Source organism: Homo sapiens, chromosome 6, assembly GCF_000001405.40.
Source record: "Homo sapiens chromosome 6, GRCh38.p14 Primary Assembly".
NCBI lineage: Eukaryota > Metazoa > Chordata > Mammalia > Primates > Hominidae > Homo > Homo sapiens.
This window is the reverse complement of record NC_000006.12, coordinates 52670266-52698210: the sequence shown is the minus strand read 5'-3', so window position 1 is coordinate 52698210 and position 27945 is coordinate 52670266. Positions and strand designations below refer to the sequence as shown.

The following is a 27945-nucleotide window of genomic DNA, read 5'->3' as shown; positions in this document are numbered from 1 at the left end:
CATATTCTAAATAAGAGCAGTGAAAATTATGTAAATAGTATCTATCCATATCCTATCTCCATATAAGGAAGGTAGTGCTTGGATCTTGCAACTAGGAGGAGCCCTGCCTCCAAGCTTCTAAGCTGTCATAATTCCAACCCCCTTCCTTTGTTTTTGTTGCCCTAGGGATAATGTCTGCTTTCACAGTTGCCAACTTCATGATACTGCACTGTTCCTTTGTTGTTTTCAGTTCTCCAAGATATAATTCATTCCTTTATATTTAATGTTCTGTGCTAAAGTACCTGATGTGGTTCTGTCTCCCAGCTAGACCCTGAAACAATGGAAAGGAGAACTGCCTCAACTTCAGGTGTTAAATGGGAAAAGGGCAGAGCCAGCCTTACTGTTGCCATTCTGAGGCAGAGAGAGAGAAAGAGAGAAAGTCCCTCCAGTCTTTTAAATTAAACGGTTGTTCTCTCTAGTTACAGTTGGTTGGCTGGTTGGTTGATTGGTTGGTTGGTTTTAATGCAAATATTCCTTGGGAAGATTGAAAAAGTAAGCCCAAAGCAGAGAGCTGTCAGCCAGAAGGGAGATCACTGGGATTCCAAGAAGGGAGGGGTAGGACATGGAAGGTTGATGTAGGAGAACGGTGGGAAACCATGTGCAGAAGAAGGTGCAGGGAGGCAAATGTCAAGACATGCTTTGAATTCCAGGCAGTTAAAATATGTATGCTTATTTTCCTATAAGAAAATGGGGAATAACAGAAAGGTTTTAGGCAGAGGCTTATGGCTTCAGAAAAACAACCAGGCAGAGCATGTTGGGTAGATAAATGTCGTGGTAGTCCAGAGGTAAAAAGAGGGTGACCATAGGAAAGGAGAGTAAGGAATGAGAAAGGACAATTCTTGGTCAGACAGAAAGCTTTGTGCCTACCAGAGTACTCAACATCATTTTCTTGCACTCTACACATTTTTGTATGAGTGAATGGGTAAATATTTCTCCTTTTACTTGGCCTCTAAAAATATTTGATTACATAGTTCCATTTTGTACCACCTTTAAAGAAAACAGTTATTATTATCACAGACAATAAATAACCCAACTTTCCTTTGTGTATTTTAAGGTGGAACCCTGATGTATGGACAAGTGCCCATGGTCGAAACTCATGGAATGAATTAGGTAGAAACCAGAGCCTTCCTAAGATACATAGCTGCAAAATATGACTTGTATGGAAGGAACATGAAGGAACAAGCCTGGTACAACAATCGCTTCTTTCTTAGAATAAAACTTAAAAAAAAAGTTTTAAGCTTATTAGCAGTCATGTGTAGCATAATTCTTGACAGATTAATACAAAGCTCTTCTCTGGTTAACTTTTTATTGTAGCAAAATCTAACATATCAAAGGAGAGAGACTAGTATAATAAACCCTATGTACAAAATTTACCTTCGACAATGACTAATTCATGGCCAATTAAACAGTTTCTTTAATTTTCTGATTCTATGTTTAGCTCTTTATTAGTTATGTATTATTTATTTACTAAAGCAAAGACGTTAGTAGAGTACATCTACCACTTTCTTGTGAATTTGTGTTTCCCTCCACAAGGTGGAAGTGGCACACAGAGTAAATCACCAGAACACAGACCCAAAATTTTCGGAGGAGGAGCATTCTATCCCCACGCAATTGATTCTAGAAGTGGTTGTTGGAAACTACTTCATTAATCTCTGGTCACACCAATATCTGCCCCCTGGCCTCCCAGACATTAGTTAATTCCCTTGTGCAGACATCAGTCCTTTTACAATAGGCAGACCTATCTACAAACTGACAAAATAGTCTTATCTTACCTGGGGTTTTTAACAGCAACCCTAAATTGTAAATTATTGCACAGAATTAGAAAACCATTAATTGGTAAACAACAAATAATCCATCTTTACTAAATGAGATGTGTTTTAAATAAATTTCTGAAGCCATTGTTTTATTTCAAAAATGCATGTGTTTTCAGAAACTTAGCTTTAAACATTTCAATGTAGTAAACATTTTTAAATTGATCTCGTATTTTGAAATCTCAACAAAAGTTTTCCCTTACTTTCTAGTAGTTTCTCACTGACTTAGAAACCAAATTTCTGCTGAAACCAAATTACATCCCTGCAGTGTAGTTTAACATGTTCCCCTGTCTCTGTATTTTTATAAATTGGTAGCTGGGTTTAGAGGCTTTATCAGATTCAGGTTCTAGTCGGTTTTGCAAGGCTACTTTCAGTGTCGTTGTGTATTCTTTATGATATCAGTAGCCATTGATGTTCAGGGCTAACATTCCTTCTGCATCTATTACCTGAAATGTTCTTTTTTTTTTTTTTTTGAGACGGAGTCTCACTCTGTAGCCCAGGCTGTAGTGCAGTGGAGCGATCTTGGCTCACTGCAACTTCCGCCTCCCGGGTCCCGGTTCAAGCAATTCTCCTGCCTCAGCCTCCCGAGTAGCTGGGATTACAGGCACACACCACCACGTCCAGCTGATTTTTGTATTTTTAGTAGAGACAGGGTTTCACCGTGTTGGCCAGGCTGGTCTTGAACTCCTGACCTCGTGATCCGCCTGCCTCAGCCTCCCAAAGTGCTGGGATTACAGGCATGAGCCACCGTGCTCGGCCTGAAATATTTCTATAAAGAAAACCTTTTGCTAACACAACAAAAGGGCTAACAAGAAAAATAAAAGATCAAAAAAGAAAAACAAGGGTCAGGAATGGTGGTTCATGCCTGTTATCCTAGCACTTTGGGAGGCAGAGGCAGGTGGATCACATGAGACCAGGAGTTTGAGACCAACCTGGCCAATATGGCAAAACCCTGTCTCTACTAAAAATACAAAAATTAGCTGGGCATGGTGGTGCTCACCTGTAATACCAGCTAATCGAGAGGCTGAGTCACTTGAACCCAGGAGGCAGAAGTTGCAGTGAGCTGAGTTTGTGCCACTGCACTCCAGCCTGGTCAACAGAGCGAGACTCTATCGCAAAAAAAAAAAAGGAAAGAAAAAACTTCCTTTCATCTACTATCTGGTTACTTGGACATACAGTTTTCAAGACTGATGCTTGATTCTTTCCCTTTGTTTACCAATTTTCCAAATAATGAGTTGTTTCATTTGCAGTGACCAGTTAATTAGTGTTGTTTTCATATCATTATGAACTCATCAATTTAAAACATCTTTGATGTGTTTCAGTTCACTTCAGGTATCATTCTTATTTATGCTCAAATTGTCCCACCTTTGGCCAATGGGAGCCAATGGGAATTTTTGGTCTGACCTGAGTGATCTCTGATAACTTCCTTATTATCTGGTATAAGATGATAATCCCAATTAATTCTGAACATCTCCTGCTCCAGAACTGGACTCAGTCATTTCTCTAAGAAGCTCTGGTTCCTTTTAATGAAAAACAGTTTTTAAATAGATCTTTCATATAAACTGAAAATGAATTATTTACTATTAGTGCTTTCATTGGTATAGTATTGTGATAAAACCTCATACATGTTAGAAACTTTGTATTTTAAAACTCTTTCAACTGTATAAACCCACAACAATCCTAATGTTCAGAATAGTACTCTTCTGGTTATCTGTTGCTATAGAATATGATCTCTCACGGTGCTGAGTTGACAGGGCTCAGCTGGGTGGTTCTCTCCAAGTCTCTCATGGAGTGCTTTACTCATGTGTCTGGAACTTGTGTTGGGAGGGCTGCTGTCATGCCAGATCCCTATTGACTTCAATAGGGATGGCACCATGTTTGAGAGTCTGAAGAAGAGACCTAGAGCCAGCAAACAAGACTTGGGATTTATTGAGGGGACTTACATACAACACGGTCCAGTGGTGGCAGGCTCGACAGGAGAACCACTACCATTTGTAAAAAGCATGCTGGTTATATAGCATTTTCACTTAGCACCCTCTCCCTTGCAACCTCCACCTGGCAACCTTTATGTAACCCAGAACAAAGGGCCTCAATCCCTTGCATGGCCTGCACACCATGGGATGGGCCAGGGGTTCAGATGCTCCTCATAGATAAGGAATGAATCTAGAGGTTGGCCACTCCTGGATTCCTTAGCTTGGAACTCCAAACACACATTCTTCTTAGACCATAGGACCATTATCAGGGTATTGCTATCAAGTGCATCTGCCATATAGCTGGACCATATGGGCCTAGTGGGGCATCGGTCTCTCTCTACGTGCCTTCTTCACAGGACTAGCTTGGGCTTCCACATGGCATGAGGTTCTCAGTGTAGTTGGACTTTGTACGTAGTAGCTGGTTGGCCTCTGAGCAAATGTTCCAAGAGAACCCCGTGGAAGCTGTGAGGCTTATGTCCTAGATATACAAGTCTAAGGACATTACTTCTCACATTCTATTGGCCAAGCAAGTCTCCAAGGCCCACTCAGATTCAAGGGGAGAATGAAACTTACTCTCAATAGGAGAAGTAGCAAAGAATCTGAGTCCATTTCAAGACATGCACTGCTACTGTAGCTTAAAGTTAAAGGAACTGTGGTTCAAAAAGATTAATAAGAGACTCATCTTGGACCCAGACCAAAGTTTCCCAAGGCCCACACCAGTAGTCTCACTACGTCATGGTGTCTTGTCAAACATAACATCCATGTTTCCATACACTTTGGCACAGAGATGTGGGTGGTGGCAAGTGGGAACTTGTGGAGTAAGTTTTGTCTTCTATGAAATTGCTCTACTATGTTTGAGAACCTTCAATCCAGATGGAGATGTGTTTGGCAGTGCAGAGGCCCTTATTACCTCTTCTTCCACATGCATCACCAGTAGCAGCATGGGTGATCTCACTATTATTACAACAACTAAATAGCCATAAATGATATTTGCCCAATTTGCTGTTTTGGGATTATTTTAATACTTTGTGTATATGTATTTTATTAACACTAGTGTTACATAATTGATAGTCACACACATATAATTGCTCACACACTTTGATCCTACAACTTTTCTATCTCCCAGATGCATCTTCCCTAATATTTCAAAGGAACAGCATGCCTCTGAAAACACCTGGCTTCAGTTCCTGGAACAATGTTCCATGAAAACACCTGATAACTAAGCAGGTAAAACAGAGGCACTACTTAAAATGTTTCTTTGGCCCATTAAATGACAGTTCCCTTTATCTGTAACTCTTTTTTGAATTAACACCCTTTTTCTAGGATTCACATGTATGTAGAAGGCTTGAAGGACCTGAGTGACATGATTATGTTCCAGCCACTCTCTCTGCCTGAAGAGAAGATGAATCTTGCATACATCCTTGAAAGAGCCACTACAAGATTATTCCCTGTCTGTGAGAAGGTAAGCAACAAACTCCTGCCCTGCTTTATGACTTGAATCAAGGGGGAGAAAAACAAATGAAACTAAAAATAGACAAAGAATTTTATCAATAAAGGTTTCCAAACCCTTTGCGAAAGCTCAAAATTCTTCCCCCACTTGCAGTTAGACAACAAATCTGCTCTCCTTCCTCACACCCTGGTCTTCTGGATTTTTTTTTATTTTATGCATAATTTCAGCACTATTTGTGGTTCTGGTGCTGATAGAATTTCAGTTACCTGATTCTAAGGGAGGAAATCCCACACTAATGAAAGAGCTGGGGGAGAGGGGATGGATATTATTTCTAAAATACACTGGACAGTCCTGGGGTTCAGGGCTGTTTGTAAGGTTAGAATTCTAAGCAGTATTCTAAAAGTTAAAAAATTGTTTTAAACATAATACTTGAGCGTTCATGTCTCTGCATTTTTAACAGCTGTAAAATGCTGTCTGAAAGCTTGCACTTGGTCAGGGTTGGATGCCTTCTTTAGTTATTAATGCTCTTCATCTCCAGGTGCAGTCATTATAATATTAGTAAGTCTAGGAAAAGATGATGAAAAATGTTAGGGCTTGGTAAAAACAAAGAAAAAAGAGCCAGTTAAGTTTTTCAAACTCACCTGCCATGCTGTTTTAACCTATCCTTTTTGGGTTGAATAACAATAGTTCTCATTAAATGATTTAATACATGTATTTGAATATATTTATCATGATCAACAGTTTTAGAGCCTAATCATGTAACATAGATTATCTAGTTGATACTTATGTATTTGGCATAGATGACAGATACCCTAACTTCCTCGGTTAGACTTTTCCCTTAATTATACCTGGTGAGTTCCTAGCTCCAACTGGATCAAATTGTGAATATTCTAAACCCCCAGGTTTTCCCCATACTGTTTCCTTCAAAAGTGTTTCAAAGATAATGTATTCCTTTGTAATCAGCATGTAACTTAAGATCTTTTACCATACAAATACTGACAACAGAGTGAATGTTTACCACCACCATGTGGTAAACTAATGCATGAAGTTTTTGTTGTAAGATACTATGAAGTGCAGACTTCTCATAACTAAAAATGTGACTGTAACTGCACTAACAACAGTGCTAATAATAATAATGGCTCACCTTTACTGAGTGCCAAGTGCTGTGCTATATGATTCGCATGCATTAATCCATTTAATCTTTATAATAACTCCACAAGATACTATGTGGTTGCTTCATCTGTAAATAAGGATAAATTATTTCCTCATTTACAGGTGAAGCAACTATATCTTAAAGAAGCAACGTAACCTGCCCAGTGTCATACAACTAATAAAGCTGGAACCTGTACTCAGGTCTCTCTAGGTCCTGATCCTATGCCCAAGTATCAAAACATCATGAAGTCTATGGCCTAGAATGTACCTTAGTGACCACCTCCTCCAAACTTACATTTCATTTTGTATTTGATCAATTTTGACTCAAAGTGACCCATAATTTACAGCCCTATTTGAAGAAAATTCGCTTATAAAAATGAGGGTTGGGTCCCTCTGAGAATGACACTCTCCCTGCAAACACAGTACCTTCCGAAGAGCAGCACACCTCAAGAATCCACCCTGAGATGGTGCAAGTAGAAATACCATCAGCCCAGGAAGAGCCACCAATGGAGGGTCGGTGCTAAAATCACTCTACAGAGGTTCACGGGATAGCTACAGGGAGAGGAGATGAAAAGAAGACAAGCACATGAGATAAAGCTGTTTCCTATGTTCAGAATAAGTCAGGAGGGTTTAAGCTATTCCATTCCTTTCACCTCACGAAGCCCAAGAGAAATGGGGTTTGCGTGAGCTCACACAGCTAGTCAGTGGCAAAGAACAGATTAGAAGCCAGGTCTCTTAACTTCTAGAAGACTTTCTGCCAAATCAAGCTGACTTTAAATTATATGTTAGGTGTGTCCTTCATCTTCTACCTTTTCCTTATTAACCATCATGCAGGCACTGAGAGACCACAGACAAGATTTTCTTGTGGGCAATCGGCTGAGCTGGGCTGATACACAGCAACCTGAAGTCATCTTAATGACTGAAGAGTGCAAACCCAGTGTCCTCTTGGGCTTTCCTCTGCTACAGGTAATGCTATCCAAATAGCTCCCAAGAACTGCAGGGAGAATGAATTTGTATTATCCACTTATTCTTTCATTCAGTCATTCACCATCATTTATGAACCTACTAACTTCTTTATGCCAAGGCCTGTGCTAGAAATACAAAGATGCCCTCAAGGCAGCTATCTCCTGGTGAAACCAAGCATACAGACCGGTAACTTCAATATAATGTGGTAAACTAAAACGTAACATGATAAGAGAAAGCAGATGTCTTGAACTCCTGGGCTCAAATGATCCTCCTGCCTCAGCCTCCCAAAGTGCTGCGATTACAGGCATGAGCCACTGCACCTGACCCATATTACATTATAAACATGTTTTAACATTGTTAGTCTGCCTCATTTCTTTACAATGTAGTCTATTTTTGAAACTTTTCTTGATTATATGTATATTCCATTTATTGTGTTCAGAATAACCTTTTTTAACAAGAAAGAAATATTTTAATTGTTACAAAAACAAAGGAGGCAGATACTAGAAACTCTGCATTTCATAAAACAATGAAACTTTGTTTAAATGTTTTCATGATCATCTTTCCGCAGACACCATTCATTTTAAAAGTCCTAGTCAAGACCATTAAGCAGCTTCATCTTCTATATTAAAAAAAAACCCGAGACTTAAAAAACAACAGTAAAGAATTTCACTATCTTTATATATTACATCTTATAAAGCTATTAAATTTTTCAGTGTCAAGAGTGAAATATTACCCCATACCTCGCTTCATCACTAGAAGGTGGACACCTGATTGAGCAATACTCATTAACTGCTAGGTAGATGAACTGTGTTGACTGTAGTAAAGCCATTTTACAATCAACTTAGGAAGTAATAACACCAGCCAAACACAGAGACACAAACATCAAAAATGATATGTTTAGTATGTACAAATAGCTATACTTGGGGCATGGCTATCAAGTAACAAGACTGATTTAATACTTTACAGTCATAGCACATTAAAAATATATTGCCAGAGGGATAATGGTCCCACACATCAAAAATGTCTATATAGAAAAGGCTGTGATTTATTGCAAAGCATAATATATAGCAAATTCCAAGGAAGGGCAAATAATTTTTAAACAAATCTTTAAATTTAATGGCTTAAGCCAAAGCCTCAGTTACTTTTTGGAGGATTCATAACAAGTAGGGGTTGAAGAATGCTTTTCTTTTTTTCTGTTTCTTTTTTTTTTGAAATGCAAGTCTCGCTCTGTTCCCCAAGCTGGAGTACAGTGGCACGATCTCGGCTCACTGCAACCTCTGCCTCCCGGATTCAAGCGATTCTCCTGCCTCAGCCTCCCGAGTAGCTGTGACTACAGGTGCACACCACCATGCCTGGCTAATTTTTGTATTTTTAGTAGAGACGGGTTTCACTATGTTGGCCAGGCTGGTCTTGAACTCCCGACCTCAGGTGATCGCCTGCCTCTGCCTTCCAAAGTGCTGGGATTACAGGTGTGAGCCACTGCACCTGGCTTCCTTTTTTTGATTTACTTTTTCTTTTTTTTTTTTTCTTTGAGATGGAGTCTTGCTCTATTGCCCAGGCTGGAGTGCAGTGGTGTGGTCTCGGCTCACTGCAACCTCCACCTCCCAGGTTCAAGTGATTCTCCTGCCTCAGCCTCCCAAGTAGCTTGGATTACAGGCACCTGCCACTATGCCCGGCTAGTTTTTTTTTTTTCCTGTATTTTTAATAGAGACAGGGTTTCACTATGTCGGCCAGGCTGGTCTCAAACTCCTGACCTCGTGATCCACCCACCTCAGCCTCCCAAAGTGCTGGAATTACAGGTGTGAGCCACCACACCCAGCTTTTTTTTTCTTTTCTTTGTTCTGATATTTTTGTTTCTTTTGAAATGTCCTTTTCAGTGGAACTGGATGAATAAGACCTTTTCCTTTTTTAAAAAAATTGCTTTTCTCTTTGCTTTTTCTTCTCCTCTTCATTTATTCTTTTTTTCCAGTAATGCTTGCAATTTATTCATTCTTCATTTTATTCATCAATCTTCACTGTTTGCACTGCTGACATCCAAAACTATGTCCCTTTGGGGTCTACTTGGAGAAAGTTGCAGCATTCAAAAGTCAGGTGACCAGGAAGCCATATTTTTTACAGCCTGCTCTGACACTGTCCTTGTTGCAACCTGGGACTGCCATGATGGTGGTAAGAGGGGTCGCTGGAGACTCTGGCTTTCTAGAACACGCTTGCTTCCCATTAGCTGTGAGGACGAGGCACCGCCAAAGTGGCCACTTTCACCCATGCCACAGCCTAACCTGATTTTAAATAGTGAAAATCATAAACAACTTAAATGTCTAATATTAAACTGAGAAACATCTATATAAATGAGGATATGTTCATTGGATAGAATTCTATGCAGCCACTTAAAGTTTTCAAAGATTACATAACATGAAAAATGCTTCTGGTATAAGAAAAATGAGGACTTCTCTTTATTGTATACCAGGATGCTTTAGAATGTTTGTTTTTATAAATAGTGTTGCAACAATATCTTTGTAGGTATAGATTTTTCCACATTTAAGATTACATCATTAGGACACAATTTTTAAAATGGAATCACTTCGTAACAGCCTATGAACGTTTTTGTGGTTCTTGAGAAATATTGCTAACTTGCAAAGTGGCAGTATCACTTTGCAATGTCCACAATGTATGAAAATCCCAATTATCCCCCACCTCCACCAGAATGTGGCTCATTTGCATTTTACTTTGTTTTGTTATATTCTTCTCTCTTGGATAGTATTCTTTTGCATTTTAGAAATTCAAGGCCAGAATCAGCCACATCCCCACAATTAATAAATTTCTCCAACCTGGAAGCCAAAGGAAGCCTCCACTGGATGAAGAATCCATTGAGACTGTGAAGAATATATTTAAATTTGAACATGGCCTGTTTCTTAAAAACATGAGCACTACAGTAGCTGAGTATTAACAAATGAAACAAAGTCTAAGAAACGTAGTAAATATTTCACTATGCATTGGTAGCAGACCCATAAAAATATCATAAAGCCACATTAATGTAATAAAGTAATAAGACATGAGGAAATAAACTGCCTAATACCTGTAAGTTACAGAGCCTCTTCTACTTTTCATAAAACAAGAAAACACCAATTAATCAGAGCCATCCAAATATGAATCCTTCTGGATTCTACGTATTGCAAAAGAGTAAAATCACAAATATGCAAATGGATGCCAAAGATTTCTTTAAAAACAAAACAAAAAAAGCACACACATCACTATCATTCACTTCTATGACCTTTTGGGAAAAGTCCAGGGAACAGCATAGCTTCAAACCAGTTTCTTAAACTTTGAATCACTAGAGTATTCTGCAGACACAGCATGTATTTCTAGGATCAATTTCACAGTTAGTTTCTACTTCAGTATCGTAATCAGTTTTGACTATAAGCTGCTGTCAGTCTGAATCTGAAGGTTCTCCTCAGTCATCTCTGACAGCTAGCAAGTGAGCAGAGCACCTCAATGATGACGGCTTTTTCCAGCCTTGCCTGTGGTAACAACCTCTTTGCCACCATTAGGATTTATGGGATTTTCTTTCTTCTTCTTTAAATTGGGATTTTTTTAAGTACATCAAATAATTTTATCTAGATTTCCTATTCGGTTCAACTGGTACAGCTTTTTTCTTCCCTTAATTGAATTACTTATCACTGAAAGTTTAACAACCTCCTTGAAAGTCAGTTGGGAAAGGTAACCAATCTAACAGAACCATATGAACTCTGCCGTTATCAGTTGAGGACCCTACGCTTTCACTTAAAGAAAGGGTTTGAAGTATGACACCACTGCACATAACCAACAGGATAGGAACTGTAGATTTTTAGAGCTCTAAAGGGTTGATCATTTAGTTCAATTCCTCCTTAAGAATGAGAAACTGAGTCAGAGGAAAAGGAAATGACCTTCCAAAGAGCATCAAGTGGGTGGAAGAATTGGGCTGGGATTCAGGTCTCCCGATGTTCAATTTGGGCCCTAAAAGTGCCTTGGACATTAAAAGTTATAACTATGCCTAAAAATAAAGTGGTAATTTGAAACAAAATCAGTTTGTTTCAGAATCGTTACTCTTTCAGAGAGAAAAAATATCTACGCCTCAGGAAGTAGAATGTTGGCTTAAATAAACCCTCCTTCTCAACCCTTTTCGTTAATAATTGAATATTTAAATGTCAAAGATGATTTGAGTATTCAGAGGAAAAACTGACATGAAAGAAACAGGTTTGAACCAAAATGTCTTTTATTTGAATACTGAATACATTCAGTTAGGACATAACAGTGTGCTAAGAATAAAATTTTTTAAAGAAAAAAATAGCACTGGCAGCAATACAATTAAAATGGAAAAAGCATAATTTCTAATAATTTCAAATATAACACAAATGACAAATAGATACATTATCATTCTGTGAACTCCACTTAAGACTTCCTTTATGTGACAAGTTGTAGTTTAAGCTTACTTGAGACATGAGTATTTGGAATTTTCAAAAAATACCAAATATATAAAAAATAGACACAACAAATGGAAGAGTATATCATGATTCATTAGACACTTTTAATGAAAATAGTGCTTGACAATTAGAAAACAGTTAAAATTTTTGCTTTAGAAAAAAACTACCTCAAACTAATGTTCATATTAGAGGTGACAGTGCTATTTGTGTTTCTAGCATTCCATATTGAAGTTTATCTTTTAAATACAAAAAAAATATGCTCTGCCCATTACAGCAGGATGACATGAACTTAGTTTTCTGTTCCTCCAGATGCTCAGAGCAGCAACAAGACAAGTCTCAGGATCATCATGAGGCTGGATTTAAAATAAAACAAAGACAAAGGGAGAGTCACTTTTATCTGGCATAAGACAGAAAGGGCCATGCACTCGCCTACCCAGTAGTGTTACTAATCCTTGGCTTGGGGGCTCTCCCAGCTCAACCCCTTGGAGGATTAAAACATCCCAGACATAACTGAATTAGCCACTTTAAAATGTTCGCTAAATGAATAAGGAAAAATCAGAACCTGTTGTTCTGAAAACCTTGGATGAGGGTTTATAAGAGAAAGGTTTGGGAAGAAACAAACTTTCAGAAGCTAGTAAAATAAAGCAACTTGAAAAAATAATCGAGGACCAACTTGGGGCAGTTACTAATTCAATCTCAGCTACTTTCTATTAACTGAGGCCTTCTTCCGGATCCATAAACCCTACTTCATTTTTTCTTCCTTTTTTTTTTCTTTTTTCTGATGGAGTCTCACTCTGTCACCCAGGCTGGAGTATAGTGACGCAGTCTCGGCTCACTGCAACCTCCACCTCCTGAGCTCAAGCAATTCTCCTGCCTCAGCCTCCCAAGTAGCTGGGATTACAGGTGCCCGCCACCACACTTGGCTAATTTTTGTAGAGATGGGGTTTTGCCATGTTGGCTAGGCTGGTCTTGAACTCCTGACCTCAAGTGATCCACCCGCCAAAGCCTTCCAAAGTGCTGGGATTACAGGCATGAGCCACCGCACCCAGCCCATAAACCCTACTTCTGATTCTTCCCACCACCAAGTATCACTTTTAGAACAGGGCTATAACTGGAAAGCTGTCTTTTGTAATCACACTCCTCCTCCCCTCCCTGAAACATAATACATAGTCACACTAGAAAATTCTACACAAAAGTAGAAAGAGGAACATTACAATTATTCATCACACTATCACCCACAGAAAAACACTAACAGCTTGAAATATTTCCTTCCTGTTTTTTTATACACAAACTTTTTTTAATCACACTATATGTGGTTGTTTTCATCCTGTTTTTATACCTTATTATGTCACTAAGATTTTCCAATGCCACCAAATCATTTTTGAAAACATAAAAATGTAATGCTCATTCAATATTCCATTAAATGGACAAAACATTTTTTCAAACATCTCCTTACTGGTGAACTGTTAGGTTGTTCCTAATTTTTCAGTCTATTGTGTTTTCACTAGAAATAAAGTTGCAATGAACATCAGTCTTTGTGCATATCTCACTGCTTTGGAATAAATTCCAAAAAGTGAAAATGTCTATCAAAGGAAATAAACATGTTTATGGCTTTCAACATATAAAGCCAGCTTTCTGGAGAAATTTTTAAAATGTTATCTCTAAATTTTTATTTGGTAATATGCTTAATCTCATGGATAGAATTACTGGATCAAATTAAGAGAAACTTGAGGCCCTCTGTTTATCTTTTAAAAAATATTAAAACTTCTCTCTTAAAAACTCTTAAAAATATTAAATTTCTGTCCCTTAAAAACTTGAAATAACTGTATCACACTGTCACTCTGTCAAACTCTCTAAAAGGGACTGAGTATTAGATTTAAATGAACACATTTAGTGTTGCAGATGGGTGAATCTTGAGGAAAAATGAGGCTGAGTTTAGTTAGCTCTTTCTTCTGAAAAAGGCAAGTATGCCTATGTGACCAGATACTACAGCAACACTATGCGTATCCAATAAGAATGTTCATGGGTACATCAATATCAAAGACCCACTGAATCCATGCTATCTTAAGGTTTTTACTGTCATGCTTATTATAACAAAAAGGACTTTGATCTTTCAAATTAAAATTGATGTTTCCCAAAAATTCAGCACTTCAAAACAACAGCAGAGGAAAGTATTGATCAAAATAGTTTTACTTACCTTAAACCTGCAACCAAACCAGCAGGCATTATTTTCTTGGACCTCTTAAATCTCACACCCATTATGGTAGCCAGGAAGAAAGCTGTAACTGAAAACCAAACTAATTCATGAACCAGAGTTTCAAACATGTTATCAATGCTTGTGGGAAAACAGCGGGTACCATTTAAAGCTTTCTAACATTACAACTATTATGGATAGGTACTGAGTTGCCATTGTCTTGAAAAGATAAAGTGCTCTATTAAAACACTTCATGGCCGGGCCAGTGGCTTACGCCTATAATCCCAGCACTTTGGGAGGCAGAGATGGGTGGATCACCTGATGTTGGGAGTTTGAGGCCAGTCTGACCAACATGGAGAAACCTCGTCTCTACTAAAAATACAAAAAAAATTAGCAGGGCATGGTGGCACATGCCTGTAATCCCAGCTACTCGGGAGGCTGAGGCAGGAGAATTGCTTGAACCGGGGAGGCAGAGGTTGTGGTGAACTGAGATCACGCCACTGCACTCCAGACTGAGCAACAAGAGCGAACTCTGTCTCAAAAAAACAACAAAAGAACAAACAAAGAAACACTTCATCATCATCTACCTCGCCGAAAAGGTTTCTGGGTAAACAAACATGTTAAAATCCATTCCTGAAATATCTTCAAAAGAGAAAGACCTTTTCTTTTTCTTTTTTTTTTTTTTGTTGTTGTTGTTGTTGTTGTTGTTGAGACAGAGTCTTGCTCTGTCACCCAGGCTGGAGTACAGTGGCGTGATCTCAGCTCACTGCAACCTCCACCTCCCGGGTTCAAGCAATTCTCCTGCCTCAGCCTCCCGAGTAGCTGAGATTACAGCCATGTACAACCACATCCAGCTAATTTTTGTACTTTTAGTAGAGACAGGGTCTTGCTATGTTGGCCAGGCTGGTCTTGAACTCCTGGCCTCAAGTGATCCACCGGCCTCAGCCTCCAAAAGTGCTGAGATTACAGGCATGAGCCACCATGCCTAGCTAAGAAAGTCTTTTTCTAACCTAAATTTCTATTCAAAGAACACGCCTTGAAGGCTAGCACTGAGCTTTATTCAACTTCCCTCAGAAACACTAAGTAGCACACTTGGACCCACAGGAGACACTCATTAATGTTCAGTTAACTGAATATAAAGAAAATAGTTAATGTATCTTTTACAAGTAAGATCTGATTAATAAAAAAAAAATACTAAAAAGAAGGCTGATTGGTTTTGTTTTGTAGCATCCCATTTTGGAGAATTTGATGCCTGGAGACTAAATAATAGTCTAAGCAATAGTATTTTATTCAGAAGCATCATGTCAGCCTTTTTGGAGCTGTATCTATGAAGGGAGAGGTAGTTTTATGTAAGAGATTAGGACATCAATGCCACAATTTAAAAACAGCTTTCAAAGAAAAACTGTTTATTGATATAAAAAATAAAATGACTGACAATAAATACTTGTGAACTATTTAAATGCATATCAATAAAAATCCTAATATCACTACATCTGGCTGATACATCTAACACAACCTCATTACTAAAAATATCCCTAGCCCCTTATAAAAATAACTAAAAAAAAAAAAAAACCCCAAATCTCTCACTCTCCTTCAAATATAGAACAATTTTGTCTTCATTTATATTTTTTTCCATACACGACCAAGGCACTTTGAATAATAAATCAACTAGAGAAAATGTCCTTGGTATGGTTTTCTAAATCTTCACTGTGTATCTCTTTCAAGTGAGATGAAAGTCAAGTGTCCTGGTGACTTTAAACACACAGGTTTCCATTTTTTCTGTGGATATTCTCCCATTAAACTTAACAAGGGAAGTAGCTAAAAAAGCGTCAGCCTTGCTTTTTTAGGTTAAGTCTTAAGGCAGTGCAGAATCTAAAAGATGTTTGTGAATTAAATGAAATAATGCAAGGCTGTCTCTTTTTTAGTTATTTCCACAGCAATGTAAAAACTATGCTAAATATGCATTTAGGAGAGTTAGCAGAAAATCTGAAAATAATTCCTTGCTTTTCCTAATTCAATTTTTCTAGTAACGAGTTTTTATAGAAATATTCTTCTGAGTTGGAAGGCCTGGTAGCAGTACCATCATTTTTTATCAGGTCTTTCTAGAAAGGAATAAGTGTTGTATTCAGCCTCAACACATGCATATGGCCATTTGCCATTTGACTAAATATGTTCTAGTATATCTAGCATAGGGTATCAAAAAGATCACCTCCAATGTTTGAGTCTCTGTAACCAGGAAAAATGCCTTACTTACACAGTGACACTTTTACATCTCGTTTGTCATTGGAGACACGGTAAGCTCCATAGCCGGCCAAACATCCAACAAAAAGACCAGCAATCAAAGACGGAACACCACCTGGAAGGGGAAAAAAATATGAGATCACAAAGAGAATCCCAAAAGGAAAGGAATTCATTCCATTACTTCTAGTATGATACAGGCACCTTCAAATGTATTCCTACTTGGGCACAGTAACTGGACAAAGCCAAATTAAGAATAGGCCTCTTCATGGATACTTTCTAGGAGATGACTGTTTCCTGCTGAACCCAAATGCAAGGCAGAGGAGCCCTGAGGGCACAGCAGTGCAGTGGGGTTAGATGTCACTTGGGGAAATAAGAAAACCTGCCTTGTTCTGGTGGCTTGGACACTGATTACATGATCTTGGACAATTATTTAACTTCCTTAAGCCCTTCTTTTTTAATTTTTCCTATTCTCTTTGCCTCCTTTTTGCAATGAGGTTGTGATGATAAAAACTAAGATGCAAAGGTAGTTTTAGTTTATAGAGGTAAAGACAGAAGTGCTATACAAACCAAGCAATGGTTCCATCCTGAATAATTAACAAACCTTCATGCCTCAAGATGTCAGGACTCAAGGACTAATAGAGGCCCTACCAAGAAAGACGAAGAATCAGAATACTGACCCCAGCTACCCAGTCCCTATCCCATGCACTCACCCCACCAGTACACTCCCAGCCCCCAACCCACATACCCACCCCAGAGCACTGTGGCAAACACCAAGCACTTTCTGTGCACTGGACAGTGGGTTACATGGCAGTGACACTATGAATAAGACACACACAATCCTTGCTTCATGGAACTCACCCTATTTAGAATCTGTTAGGTTAAAATCCCTGGGGGGTAGGGTCAAAGCATCTCATTTTTAAAATATCCATTGGAAATTCAAATGTGCAGCCAGGGTTAAGAACCACTGCAGCACATGCATGCATACACACACAATACACACACACACACAAACACACAAACACAACACATACAACACACAAACACACACACACAACACACACACACACACCAGAGCAGCATTCTGAATGAGAAGACAAACACGCTAGGTTCTACTCCTAATTCTTTCACTTGCTGGCTAAAGGACTCTGGCTAAGTCACTTAGCCTCTCTAAGTTTTAGCAGTTGTAAAACGGGGTTAATCATCCATGCCATATATATATGTGTATATATATATATACATATATGTATATATATATATACACATATATATACACACACATATATATACACACATATATATATACACATATATATACATATATATATATATATATAAATATATAAATATATAGTGGCTTAGAATGTTACAGTTGGAGATAATGTTAAATTACACATTGTTTCCCCCAAAAGCTATTCTTCAAACACAGTAAGATGATCTTTTAAAAACATACATCTGGACAGGTCACTCTCCTAATTAAAAACCTTAGTGCTTCCCAAAGCTCTTAGGAAAAATAATCCAGTTTGCTATATTGTGGGAACCCTGGCCTTCTTTCAGTTCTCTGAATATACCAAACTCTATTCGTCATGGCTTTCAGACATACTGTTCCTTGTGCAGACTGCTTGTCTCTGCACTGTTCACTTGGCCAAGTGTAGCTCACCTTCGGATGTCTGCTTAAGTGTTGTCTTCTCCAACCCACCATTCTGAACAAGGGCCCCCATCATAGTCTTCCGCTATTCCTGATCATATGTTTATATGCTGTTCATGGATTGAATGTCAGTCTGCCCTTACTCACTTGTGAGCGATTGCTGTTTCCCCAGGGCGAGACACAGGGCCAGGTACATAGGAGCACTTGATAAATACTGATTTAATGCACCCCTATTATGGGTCATGTTCAAGCAGAAGATACCAGATAAGGATATTAAGGAGATTAAAACACTTTCTGAAATGCACAACTAGGTGACCATTAAGGTGTCTTCTCACCTAGAGATTCTATGATGCTCCTTTCTGTATACCCTGAAGGTTTATTTACTGTTAGGATCACCCCACCCCACCCTCCCCACCACCACCAAACACGCACACTTAAGTATGTGGAGAAAGTGGCAGTGTCTACACTTCAGTCTTGATGAGATCAGACAGCAAACAGCAGGGGCAGGCTCACCAGCAGCAAGAACCAGGAAGGTTCTTGAGACATTTCATCTTGCCTGAGGAAGGTGGCAGGACTGTGGGCTGTTTTACAAGAAAACCACGCTGGTGGAAGAAAGCAAAGATCCTGAGAACAAGCTCAGTGACCCATAGTGGGGGCTACAAGAAAAGGAGCTCTAAGCTCTTTTCCTTCCCACTTCCTGGGATGCCTGATCTGGGTGGGGCAGTCTTGGAAGAGGAGTTTTAAAAAGAGTTGAAAGATGCATCTGGGAGCTTCCCTGCAGGTGCTCTTATGGTCGTCCAAATAGCAGCCTGCCCAGCAAGCACACCTGCACCTCTCTGAAGGGATTGCTGTGTCAGTGCCCTTCCCTTCAACTGGAGTAGGAAGGTGTAAGGTCTGGTTCAGCCCTAGTGTGGGACAAGGCAGGGAATGCCATCTGGCCCTCTTTCACTCTGGGCACTCGATGTTACCTGGCCTAGGAAGAGCCTCCATATCATAGCATCTTCTTGGTCATCCACCTCTCTGGAGACCTACCTGGGAGGAGGGGTGAGCCCAGGCAAGCACAGTGCTCAGCATCCTGTGTCCCGCCACTGGCTGCCCTCTCTCCCCACTGTACCCCCATCAAAATAAAAATCTATCAGCTTCTCCGTTTAACCCAACTTGTGTCTCACAGCTGGTCTAGTTTAGGATTTGGATACATCTGTGTCCTCCCACTAAACACCATTTCGACATCACATCTTTCACCGACCCAAGATTATTCTCAATAACTGTCCCGTAGAAGGGTCTCCTGGCCCAGCTACATAGGACTCATACCTAGGGAAGCTCTAAGTCAAAGGAGAGTTAACTCACTTTACACACACATTCTAAGACATTCGAGCCACTGGCAGCTTAGAACATAATACAAAACTAGAGTACAAAACTAGAAAAAGGTATTATGCCTCATGGCTCACAGACCTCCCACTGGCAGGGCAGTAGCAGCAGAAAAAAACAAGAAGATTAAAACTTTATTCTATGCCAGGCACCATGTGAAATGTGTACCATGCATCATCTTATTTAATCCTAACAGATTAATTTACAGGTGAGGAACTGAGGCCCAGATGTTGAAACATCTCACCTGAGTATCAGTGCTGGTAAGTGGCAGCGTCAAGACTGGAATGCAGGAATGCTTGATTCTGTGGCCCATGCTTTTAACCCACATTATACTACAAAGTGAGCTTCCTTGTGAACCCATAATACCCTTGGGGGCTTCCAGGATCACTTAGTAGGGGGCTCTTGCAGGAGGCCAAGAAACCATATTGTGCAGGTGGACAACAAGCCCTTGAAATCAGAGACCTCACAGCTAATGTAATTTCATTTGTTCCCACCAGCTGGTAAACAATGAAGAGATGTGAGTTAGAATAAAATGATTCCTTCCACACACACACACACACACACACACACACACACACACACACAAACACACACATACACACACTCTCTATATCTCTCTCCCCACTTTCTTTCCACCTCTCATAAAGGCAGGCAAAAATGCCCAGATGTTCTTTTCTGTTCTGTAATAGAAGTTATTTAGACATTGTCTTTGACAGTGAAAATTTTTTTTCAAAAACAATCTTAGCATTTTAAACTGAGTTCTTTCTAAAGTAGATTGTGAAACATCAACCTCTGAGTACTTGGTTTACAGGTCTTACTTTGGTGCCATCATCTTTTTTTTTCCTTCAAATACACATCTCTAATACATACATTAAGACAGAAACAACGAACAAAAATCCAAGGTGAATTACAGGCTTTAAGGAATCGTAGATGATGGTCAATTCTACCTGCCAGCCCCCCAGCTACAAGAGCTATACGGTGCTTCTGGTCTTTGACTTCTTAGCAGCCTTTAAGGAAGGAAGCTAACTGGTAACCATGTAGACCTGGCTTTTTCACTCAAATTCAAGTCAACCACTGCCACAAATACAATACCCTTTGAAATAAAAAACTTCATTTAAAAAATGTCATTAAAACGTAAGAGACAGTTTGTCAGAAAGATGACTAAAGGTTGTGTATATATATGAAACATAACTAGGAGACATCATAACTATAAATGATTCTAAAATAAAAGTAAAATAAAAAAATTTGACCTTTCCTTTTTCTCCATGAAAACTCTTTAATTGATTACCTGAGTTTTTTTCCCCCCTCTTTTGGACAAAGGTGAAGAGACAACTTTGGATATGATAACTGAATATTTAACAATGTTTTCATTACAACACACAGGATCAATATAACTCAGTTTTTTGGTACCACGATTATGTAAAGCAAAAAAAAAAAATCCTCATTTAATAATAAGCAGTGGTCCTGAGGGAGATTAAATCAATTAACTATGCAACTGATGATGAAGTGAAGTGAGAGTTTTGTGGTGGAAGAGAGGCCCAGAACCCCCAGGTTGGAACACTCTGTCATGCTCAGCCCCACGGAAGCCTCTTCCTTTCATGAGTCCCTTCCAAGACACGCTGGTCTTCAGCCACCTCTAAGGCATCTTTAGCTTCTCATCCTACTTACAGAGCCTCACATGACCTAGCACAACCTCCAAACCCCCACTAATTCCCTTTCATGAAAATTTGGGTTAGGCTTACCTCTCCGCTTATATCCAAAAATGCTTCCAAATGTCACGAGGGCTGCATAACCAAAACCGATCAGGTCCATTGGCAAGGTTGCAATTCTAAAGCAAGGGGGAAAGGACAAATTATACAAAATAAAAAAGTTTTGGGGAGGGAATGTATCTAAAAATGATACGCTTATATGGTTTGGCTGTGTGTCCCCACCCAAATTTCATGTTGAATTGTGATCCTGAGTGTTGGAGGTGGGGCCTGGTGGGAGGTGACTGGATCACGGGGGTGGCTGCTAATGGTTTAGCAACATCCCCCTAGTGCTGTTCCATGATCTAAAGTTCTCACAAGATCTGGATGTTTGAAAGCGTGTAGCACTTCCCCCTTCACGTGCTCTCCCCCTCCTGTCGCCATGTGAAGACATGCTTGCTTCCCCTTTGCCTTCCACCATGATTATAAGTTTCCTGAGGCTTCTCCAGCCACGCCTCCTGTACAGCCTGCGGAAGTTGAGTTGATTAAACCTCTTTTCTTCATAAATTACCGAGTCTCAGGTAGTTATTTAGAGCAGTGTGAGAATGACTAATACAAAGACATTCCACAGAATTACAGAAATTAATTTCTCTAGTCTACTAAAGAAAGGGAAGTTCGGCCAGGCATGGTGCTCACGCCTGTAATCCTAGTACTTGGGAAGACCAAGGCAGGTAGATGGCTTAAACCCAGGAATTTGAGACCAACCTGATCAACATGGCAAAACCCCATCTCTAGTAAAAATACAAAAAATTAGCTGGGTGTGATGGCATGCACGTGTGATCCCAGCTACTCAGGATGCTGAGTTGGGAGGATTGCTTGAGCCCTGGAGGTTGAGGTTGCAATGAGCCGTGATTGTGCCACTGCACTCCAGCCTGGATGACAGAGTGACACCCTGTCTCAAGGGAAAAAAGAGGTTCAAACTTCACCTCTCCCAACCCTCTACTTTCCCCTTCATCCTCATCACTGTTAAGCACACTCTGGGGGGTACCTCAAGCTGATTCTCCTCTGCCTGTCTTCAAGATCTGCCATACTCTCAGCTGTTCAATTCTTTCCACTTACCCAAATAAAACTTCTGCTCTGGTCAGCCAGGTCTCTTCACTGAACTGTGACACTACAATCTTCACTTTTCACTTCCATGCCTGAAATGTCCTCCCTCCCTGTCCACCTCCAAAAGCCCGACTATCCCCTGTATGCCACCTCCCTTTAAACCTTCTCCCCTGACTTCTACCCTTATTAATTACCTCCTAATTTCCTTGACTCTAGTCTGTACTATCAAAGTGATCTGGAGCAAATGCCTTCTTCCTCCTCTAAATTCCTTAACTTCCACAATTCCATCTTATAATTCTTTCATGTCTGTACAGATATTAGTCCTCTCATTCTTTACAGATGGATGTCTTCTTGGAGATTGACTAATTCAGTTTAAACAATGGCTTTGTCATTAGTTTCCTTGCAAGATAGCTCTTCTGTGGTAGCAGAGACATCCACACTTAATCAATGGCAAATCACTAAAGAATACAATATAGCCCCAGCATGAAGTTAAATGGATGACAATGACATCCTACTGTGCATCATAGCAGCAGCTGAAACATACCCAGTGGTGAGAAGTTCCACTGAAACCCTGCCCACAATTCTCTCAGATGCAGTAGATAGCGTGCCAGCCACAGGCTAGAGATGTGGCCACTGGGCCTCAGACCATGCCCCTCCCTCACCCTCAACTCTCCCTGCAAGTTAGGAGAATAGATGAAAAGAGTTCTGGAGTTCTTTACAGCTTTTTAAGTTCTAAGACCCCTAGTGGTGCCTTTATTTCTGAGCTTTCTCACGTCTATATTTCTTCCACAGGGAAGGTAATTATCTTTGTAAATGTGAGGAATGGTAAGTGAGATTCCTTGCATATTTTTACAATTTTCTCATTGCTTATCATTTAGGTTAATGGGCCTTTTATCTCCCATTATCAATTGGTAATAAATTAATGTAGAACATAAAAAGGGGCCAGGCGAGGTAGCTCACGCCTGTAATCCCAGCACTTTGGAAGGCAGAGGCTGGTGGATCACTTCAGGTCAGGAGTTTGAGACCAGCCCAGTCAACATGGTGAAACCCCTTCTCTACTAAATATACAACAAATTACCCGGACGTGGCATGGTGGTGCATGTCTGTAATCCCAGCTACTCAGGAGGCTGAGACCGGAAAATCCCTTGAACCTGCGAGGCAGAGGTTGCAATCAACTGTGATCGTGCCACTGCACTCCAGCCTGGGCGTCTCAAAAAAAAAAAAAAAAAAAAAGAAGAAGAATTTTGAGCTGATCTCAGAGTCATCCACTAGAACTTACTATGAGGAAGGGTATGGGGGAGGGAAGCTGAGGCACAGGAGATGACAGCACCAAAAAGGAGGCAACACTGAAAAATGCTCATCATCTGCAGGAAGGAGAATTAAAACAGGAGAGCTCATCTGTGGCCGAGAAGTGGTACAGTAGGATGTAGCATGTAGGGAGAACCTGGGTCCAAAAACCATTTGCTGACTGAATGATGGCTAAACAAATAATAATAATAAAGAGGTTATAATGTTTTTGAGCAATTACTATGTGCTAGGTGCCATTCTAAGGCATTCTAGGTGCCTTATGTGTATCAACTCATGTAATCATGACCACACCCTATGGTATGTACTGTCATGATTATCCTCATTTTCCAGATGAGGAAAGTGGCACACAGAGAATGCAAGCAATGCCTGAAGGTTATACAGCAAAACAAAGATCTCTGACTTAGGGAAGTCTCAGTCCTAACCTCTATGCAACATCACCTCTGATAACTGAGTTAGCTGCTGAAAAAAAGCGAACATGTAAACCAAACATGTTCTTCAGAGTTTTCAATTCTGGATCAATCACATGCTCTTCATAGCTTAAAGTTGTGACCACAGGGCACTGTGTTCCATCTGGTAACTTACAATGTTCAGCCCCATGAACTTCTCATGTTTGATCCTACTTATTATCTTTCTAAAGGAGCTAACCATATGCTATAAAGTATGCTTATCTTCAAACCTGATACCACCACTTACTAGCTGTGGAACCTCAATAACTCAGTTTCTCCATCTTTAAAATAGGGATAACAAAAATATCTACCTTATAGGATTGTTCTGAGAATTAAATGATTTAATACTGTAAAGCACTTAGAACAGTGCCTGCACATACTGAGCACTCAACAAATATTAGCTGCTCCAATGATTACTCTTCTCATTCACCCTTACACCTATTTTAAGCTTGACATGTGTAAGGCTATTACTATTTCAGCACACTGAGAAAACTGAGGTAGGGTGAATTTGTAATTTAGTTAATGAATCATACCATAGTATTATAACATATATTTGTAGTCAATTCGACTTAACAGCTATTTATTTAGCATTTTCTTTAGGCAAGGCAGCAGGAAGCAATGGTAAGTGCTAAGACATGGCCTTGGTCCTCCAGGAACTATAGTACAACACAGCTGTAGGAGGCAGATGTGTGAATGAGCCCTAAGAGGAGAGGTGTGGGTACCATAACAAGGAGTGGCACCCAGCAAGGACTGGGAGCCTAAGGATGCCCAGATCAAACAGGGTCCCAGCTGGGACCTTGGAGAGATGTTGTGCCAAACCCCTATTAACCTCAATAAGGAAGGCAACAGGTTCAAGAGGCCAAAAGAGACCCATTAGGGGCTTACAAACAGAGGAGGGAGTCCAGTGGTGGTGAGCTGGGCAGGAAAACAACCGCTTGCAAACATCATGCAATTTATGCAGCATTTTCACTTAACACCCTCCCCTCAATGACCTCTACCTGGCAACTTGATTTAACTCAAAATTCAAGGCCTCAATTCCCCGTATGGCCCCTGTTCTATGGGACAGGTGGGGCAGGGGCTCAGATGTTCTTCATAGACAAGAAATAAATCTCTGGGTTGGGCAGGCCTGGGTTCCCTAGTTCAGAAAACACATTCAGGTTCATCTGCCACACAGGGTCATTCTAAGGGTATGCTTTAATTATTGCTGTCAGGTGCATTTACCCTACAGGGGAGCATGAATAAGTCAAGTGAAGAGGGTGCAGGGAAGGGTGTTCCTGGCAGAAGGGAGCGCATGTGCAAGGCCCTAATGGCACAAGAAAGCATGTTCTCAAAATGAAAAGTGCAAGGGGCTTGTGAAAAGAGAGGGTGCTGGTGAGAAAGACAGGGCTGTACACCCACATAAGCCCCGTAAAGGGAGTCTGGTTCCGTCCTAAGGGCAATGAAGGATCACTGAAGGGAGCCTCACAATCAGATTTAAATTCCAGCAAGCACTTCCCAGTTGCAGTAGTGAAGATGGGTTGTGAAGTGAGGCAGGGAGATAAATCGGGAAGCTGTTGCAGTAAAGTAAGCAAGAGCTTAGTTGATAACGGTAGGCTTATCTAGAGAAATGGCAATGAGAATGGAGAGAAGGTGGACAGATTTCAGAAGTTCAGGAGGTAGAATCAGAATTGAATTTGAGGCGGGAAGGGAAAGTCAGGGGTGAATCAGAGATGACTCACCCCTAGGTATCTGGCTTAGACCATTAGGAGAAGTAGGGAGTCGGGGAGCCTCATGCTATTCCCTGAGACAGAGAACATGGGAACAGCAGCAGGTGTGTGGCGGTGGGAAGAGGGAGGTGGCTAGGAATGATGGGACCTGTTTAGAATGTATTCAGTCTGAGACGCCCAACACACAGTCCGGAAAACACCCTTACATACAGATCTGAAGCTTATGAGAGTTCTTTCATTATCAGGTGTAACTTCTAGACCTAATTTTCTCCTAAAGCTAAGTAGCTGTTGTGAAAGATTAATTCCACTCCATCCTGAGCCCCCCAGCTCTTCCTGCGATCTTCTCTTGAGGACCCATACCCTTTTACTTGGTTGGGATTCTCTCAACTCTCAGCCAGCCAAGCTCCTTGAGGGCAAACCAAGGTTCAGTTTATCTTTGTCCTCCTCACAGCACCAAGAACCCTGCCATGCACAAGGCAGGTACTTAAAATACTTGTTAAATGAATAAATGAGTGAGTGAACCAAAGGAACAGCTTCTGCCTGAAGACATTCTGTAACTGACCTACCCAATACAGCTTTATTGCCAGGAAACAGGTAGCCCCTTAATCTCCTTAGCGAACTGACTGTTGTTCTAAAGAGGCAAAATAAATCTACTCCCAATGCTTGCAAGAAGATTCTGTTCTCACAGAGAATATTCAGACAAAAGAATCACCTATTCCATGACGGAGCCATGTGGCCAGGCCAGAAGCACACATTAAAGCCAGAGGCTGTGTTAACATGGAAGGGATAAGGTGGGAGAGGATGTGCACAGCACATCACACGCTCTCATCACAAATGTGATGCTCAAGCCTTGGAAGGACTAAAACGCATCTTGGATGCAATGCAGCAAAACGATTTACCATACCAGGTACAAAACAAGGTGACAGGGGACAGCCTCGCTGCCCGCCCCAAATCCTCCAAAATTCGGAGAATTAAGAGATTTTCGGTGAACTGTTACATAAAAAGCATTTTCACATGCTAAAGATATAACAATTACCTACCCTTGAGCTCTTGGAGGGCACAAAAGGCACATTTTCGAGTGGGGTCTGGGTGGTGCTGAGAAGGTTAAAATCCTGCCAAGCATTTTGCAATGGTCCATGAGCCCACCCCACCACCCCAGATCCAGGAAGGTAGGAGGCAGGATAGGTGGGATATTTAGGGATACCAGAAGGCAGAAACTCGGGAGGAGGAGAAAAATGATACCGCGGAGGTAAGACCGATGCCCTGCAAAATCCCCTCAAGGTCCTCTGCATCATCGTTTGCTGTACAGGTTTGGCGCGGGGGAGGGGATGCCCGCTAAGCAACGCCCCTTATATTTCTGCAGTTTTGTAAGAAAATTCAGAGCAGGAAGGTCTCCATTGCGGGATGCACAGCTCACCTGCAGCCCCGAGCCTTCACTGCAGCTGAAAAGACAGAAGTCTGGGGCCAGCTGCCGCCAAGCGCGGTACCTGGAGTCCGGAAGCAGTCTCCGCACCAGCGCTGTCCCACTCGGCGCCCAGCCGTCTCGCGCTGAGCAAAGGCCGCTCCCTCCTGGAAACGCCCTCCCTGCCGCGCGCATGCGCTGTGTCCCTTCTCGCCTTGCAGGACTCCACCCGGTCCATGCCCTCCGGCTGAATCCGGGCGGCCTGTAGGCCAGGCAGCCAGGAGGCCCTGTGCTGCAACATCCCGGCGGCAGCCGGACCCGTTGCTCCGTCTATCCTGCCTTCGGCCCTGTCCTGGAGCCAGGGCTGGGGTTTGCTGCCTCCCGCCTGACGGAGCAGGACTGGCAGGAAGCGTGTTTGCAAGAAGCCAAAATTACAGAAGGCGAAGATTTTTAAATTAACTCCATTCATCTTTCAAGGGACATTTCCAGAACCTCCAAAAGGCAACCCGAGGTCTTCTACACACCCTCCAGCAGACTGTCCCCACTGTCAGTGGAGGGAGCTAAGGTTCAGTGAGGTCAAGTGACTTAGTTGTCCCAGGTCAAAATCCAAGTTTGCCTGGTGTCAAAGCCCAAGCACCCTTCATTACACTATGGGATCATCTAGATGTGGTTGGGAGACGAGGATCCTAGTTTTAAACTTCAGGCCCAGGATTTGCTGGGTTTAGATATCTACTGGGAAAGGTATAGAATTCCAGAGTTGGAAAGCACTTAAAACCTTGCCTAATGCAAGGCAATCCGCTCAATCCCAGGAACGAAACTTAAACTGACCTTATTTTTTTTTTAAATACAGGATCTCAGTCGGTCGCCCAGGCTGGAGTGCAGTGGCACCATCCCGTCTCACTGCAACCTCTGCCTCCTGCCTCCTGGGTTCAAGCGATTCTCCAGCCTCAACCTCCCAAGTAGCTGGGATTACAGGTGTGTGCCACCTCACCCGA

General features: G+C 41.0%; 1 protein-coding gene and 2 pseudogenes across 1 annotated transcript, besides 3 other annotated features; 1 reads left to right on the top strand and 2 right to left on the bottom strand.

The window, feature by feature from the left end:
- On the top strand, positions 1096 to 10266 carry GSTA8P (glutathione S-transferase alpha 8, pseudogene; annotated as a pseudogene).
- On the bottom strand, positions 9213 to 9550 carry SREK1IP1P2 (SREK1IP1 pseudogene 2; annotated as a pseudogene).
- On the bottom strand, positions 11623 to 27098 carry TMEM14A (transmembrane protein 14A). The gene is made up of 5 exons (NM_014051.4): positions 26966 to 27098; positions 21039 to 21124; positions 16297 to 16398; positions 14046 to 14133; positions 11623 to 12201 (listed from the first exon to the last, which is right to left on the bottom strand). The coding sequence occupies exons 2-5, from the start codon at positions 21106 to 21108 to the stop codon at positions 12162 to 12164; spliced, it is 300 nt and encodes a 99-aa protein (NP_054770.1). The 5' UTR covers positions 21109 to 21124; positions 26966 to 27098; the 3' UTR covers positions 11623 to 12161.
- Positions 22393 to 22953: an enhancer, noted in NCBI's record as "OCT4-NANOG hESC enhancer chr6:52540056-52540616 (GRCh37/hg19 assembly coordinates)". NCBI's record gives its function as "activates a minimal SCP1, AML or CMV promoter by ChIP-STARR-seq in primed H9 embryonic stem cells {active_cell/tissue: H9 hESC(primed)}" and the evidence as "EXISTENCE:reporter gene assay evidence [ECO:0000049][PMID:30033119]".
- Positions 27234 to 27393: an enhancer, noted in NCBI's record as "active region_24689". NCBI's record gives its function as "activates an Ori minimal core promoter by ATAC-STARR-seq in GM12878 lymphoblastoid cells {active_cell/tissue: GM12878}" and the evidence as "EXISTENCE:reporter gene assay evidence [ECO:0000049][PMID:35858748]".
- Positions 27382 to 27882: an enhancer, noted in NCBI's record as "H3K4me1 hESC enhancer chr6:52535127-52535627 (GRCh37/hg19 assembly coordinates)". NCBI's record gives its function as "activates a minimal SCP1, AML or CMV promoter by ChIP-STARR-seq in primed H9 embryonic stem cells {active_cell/tissue: H9 hESC(primed)}" and the evidence as "EXISTENCE:reporter gene assay evidence [ECO:0000049][PMID:30033119]".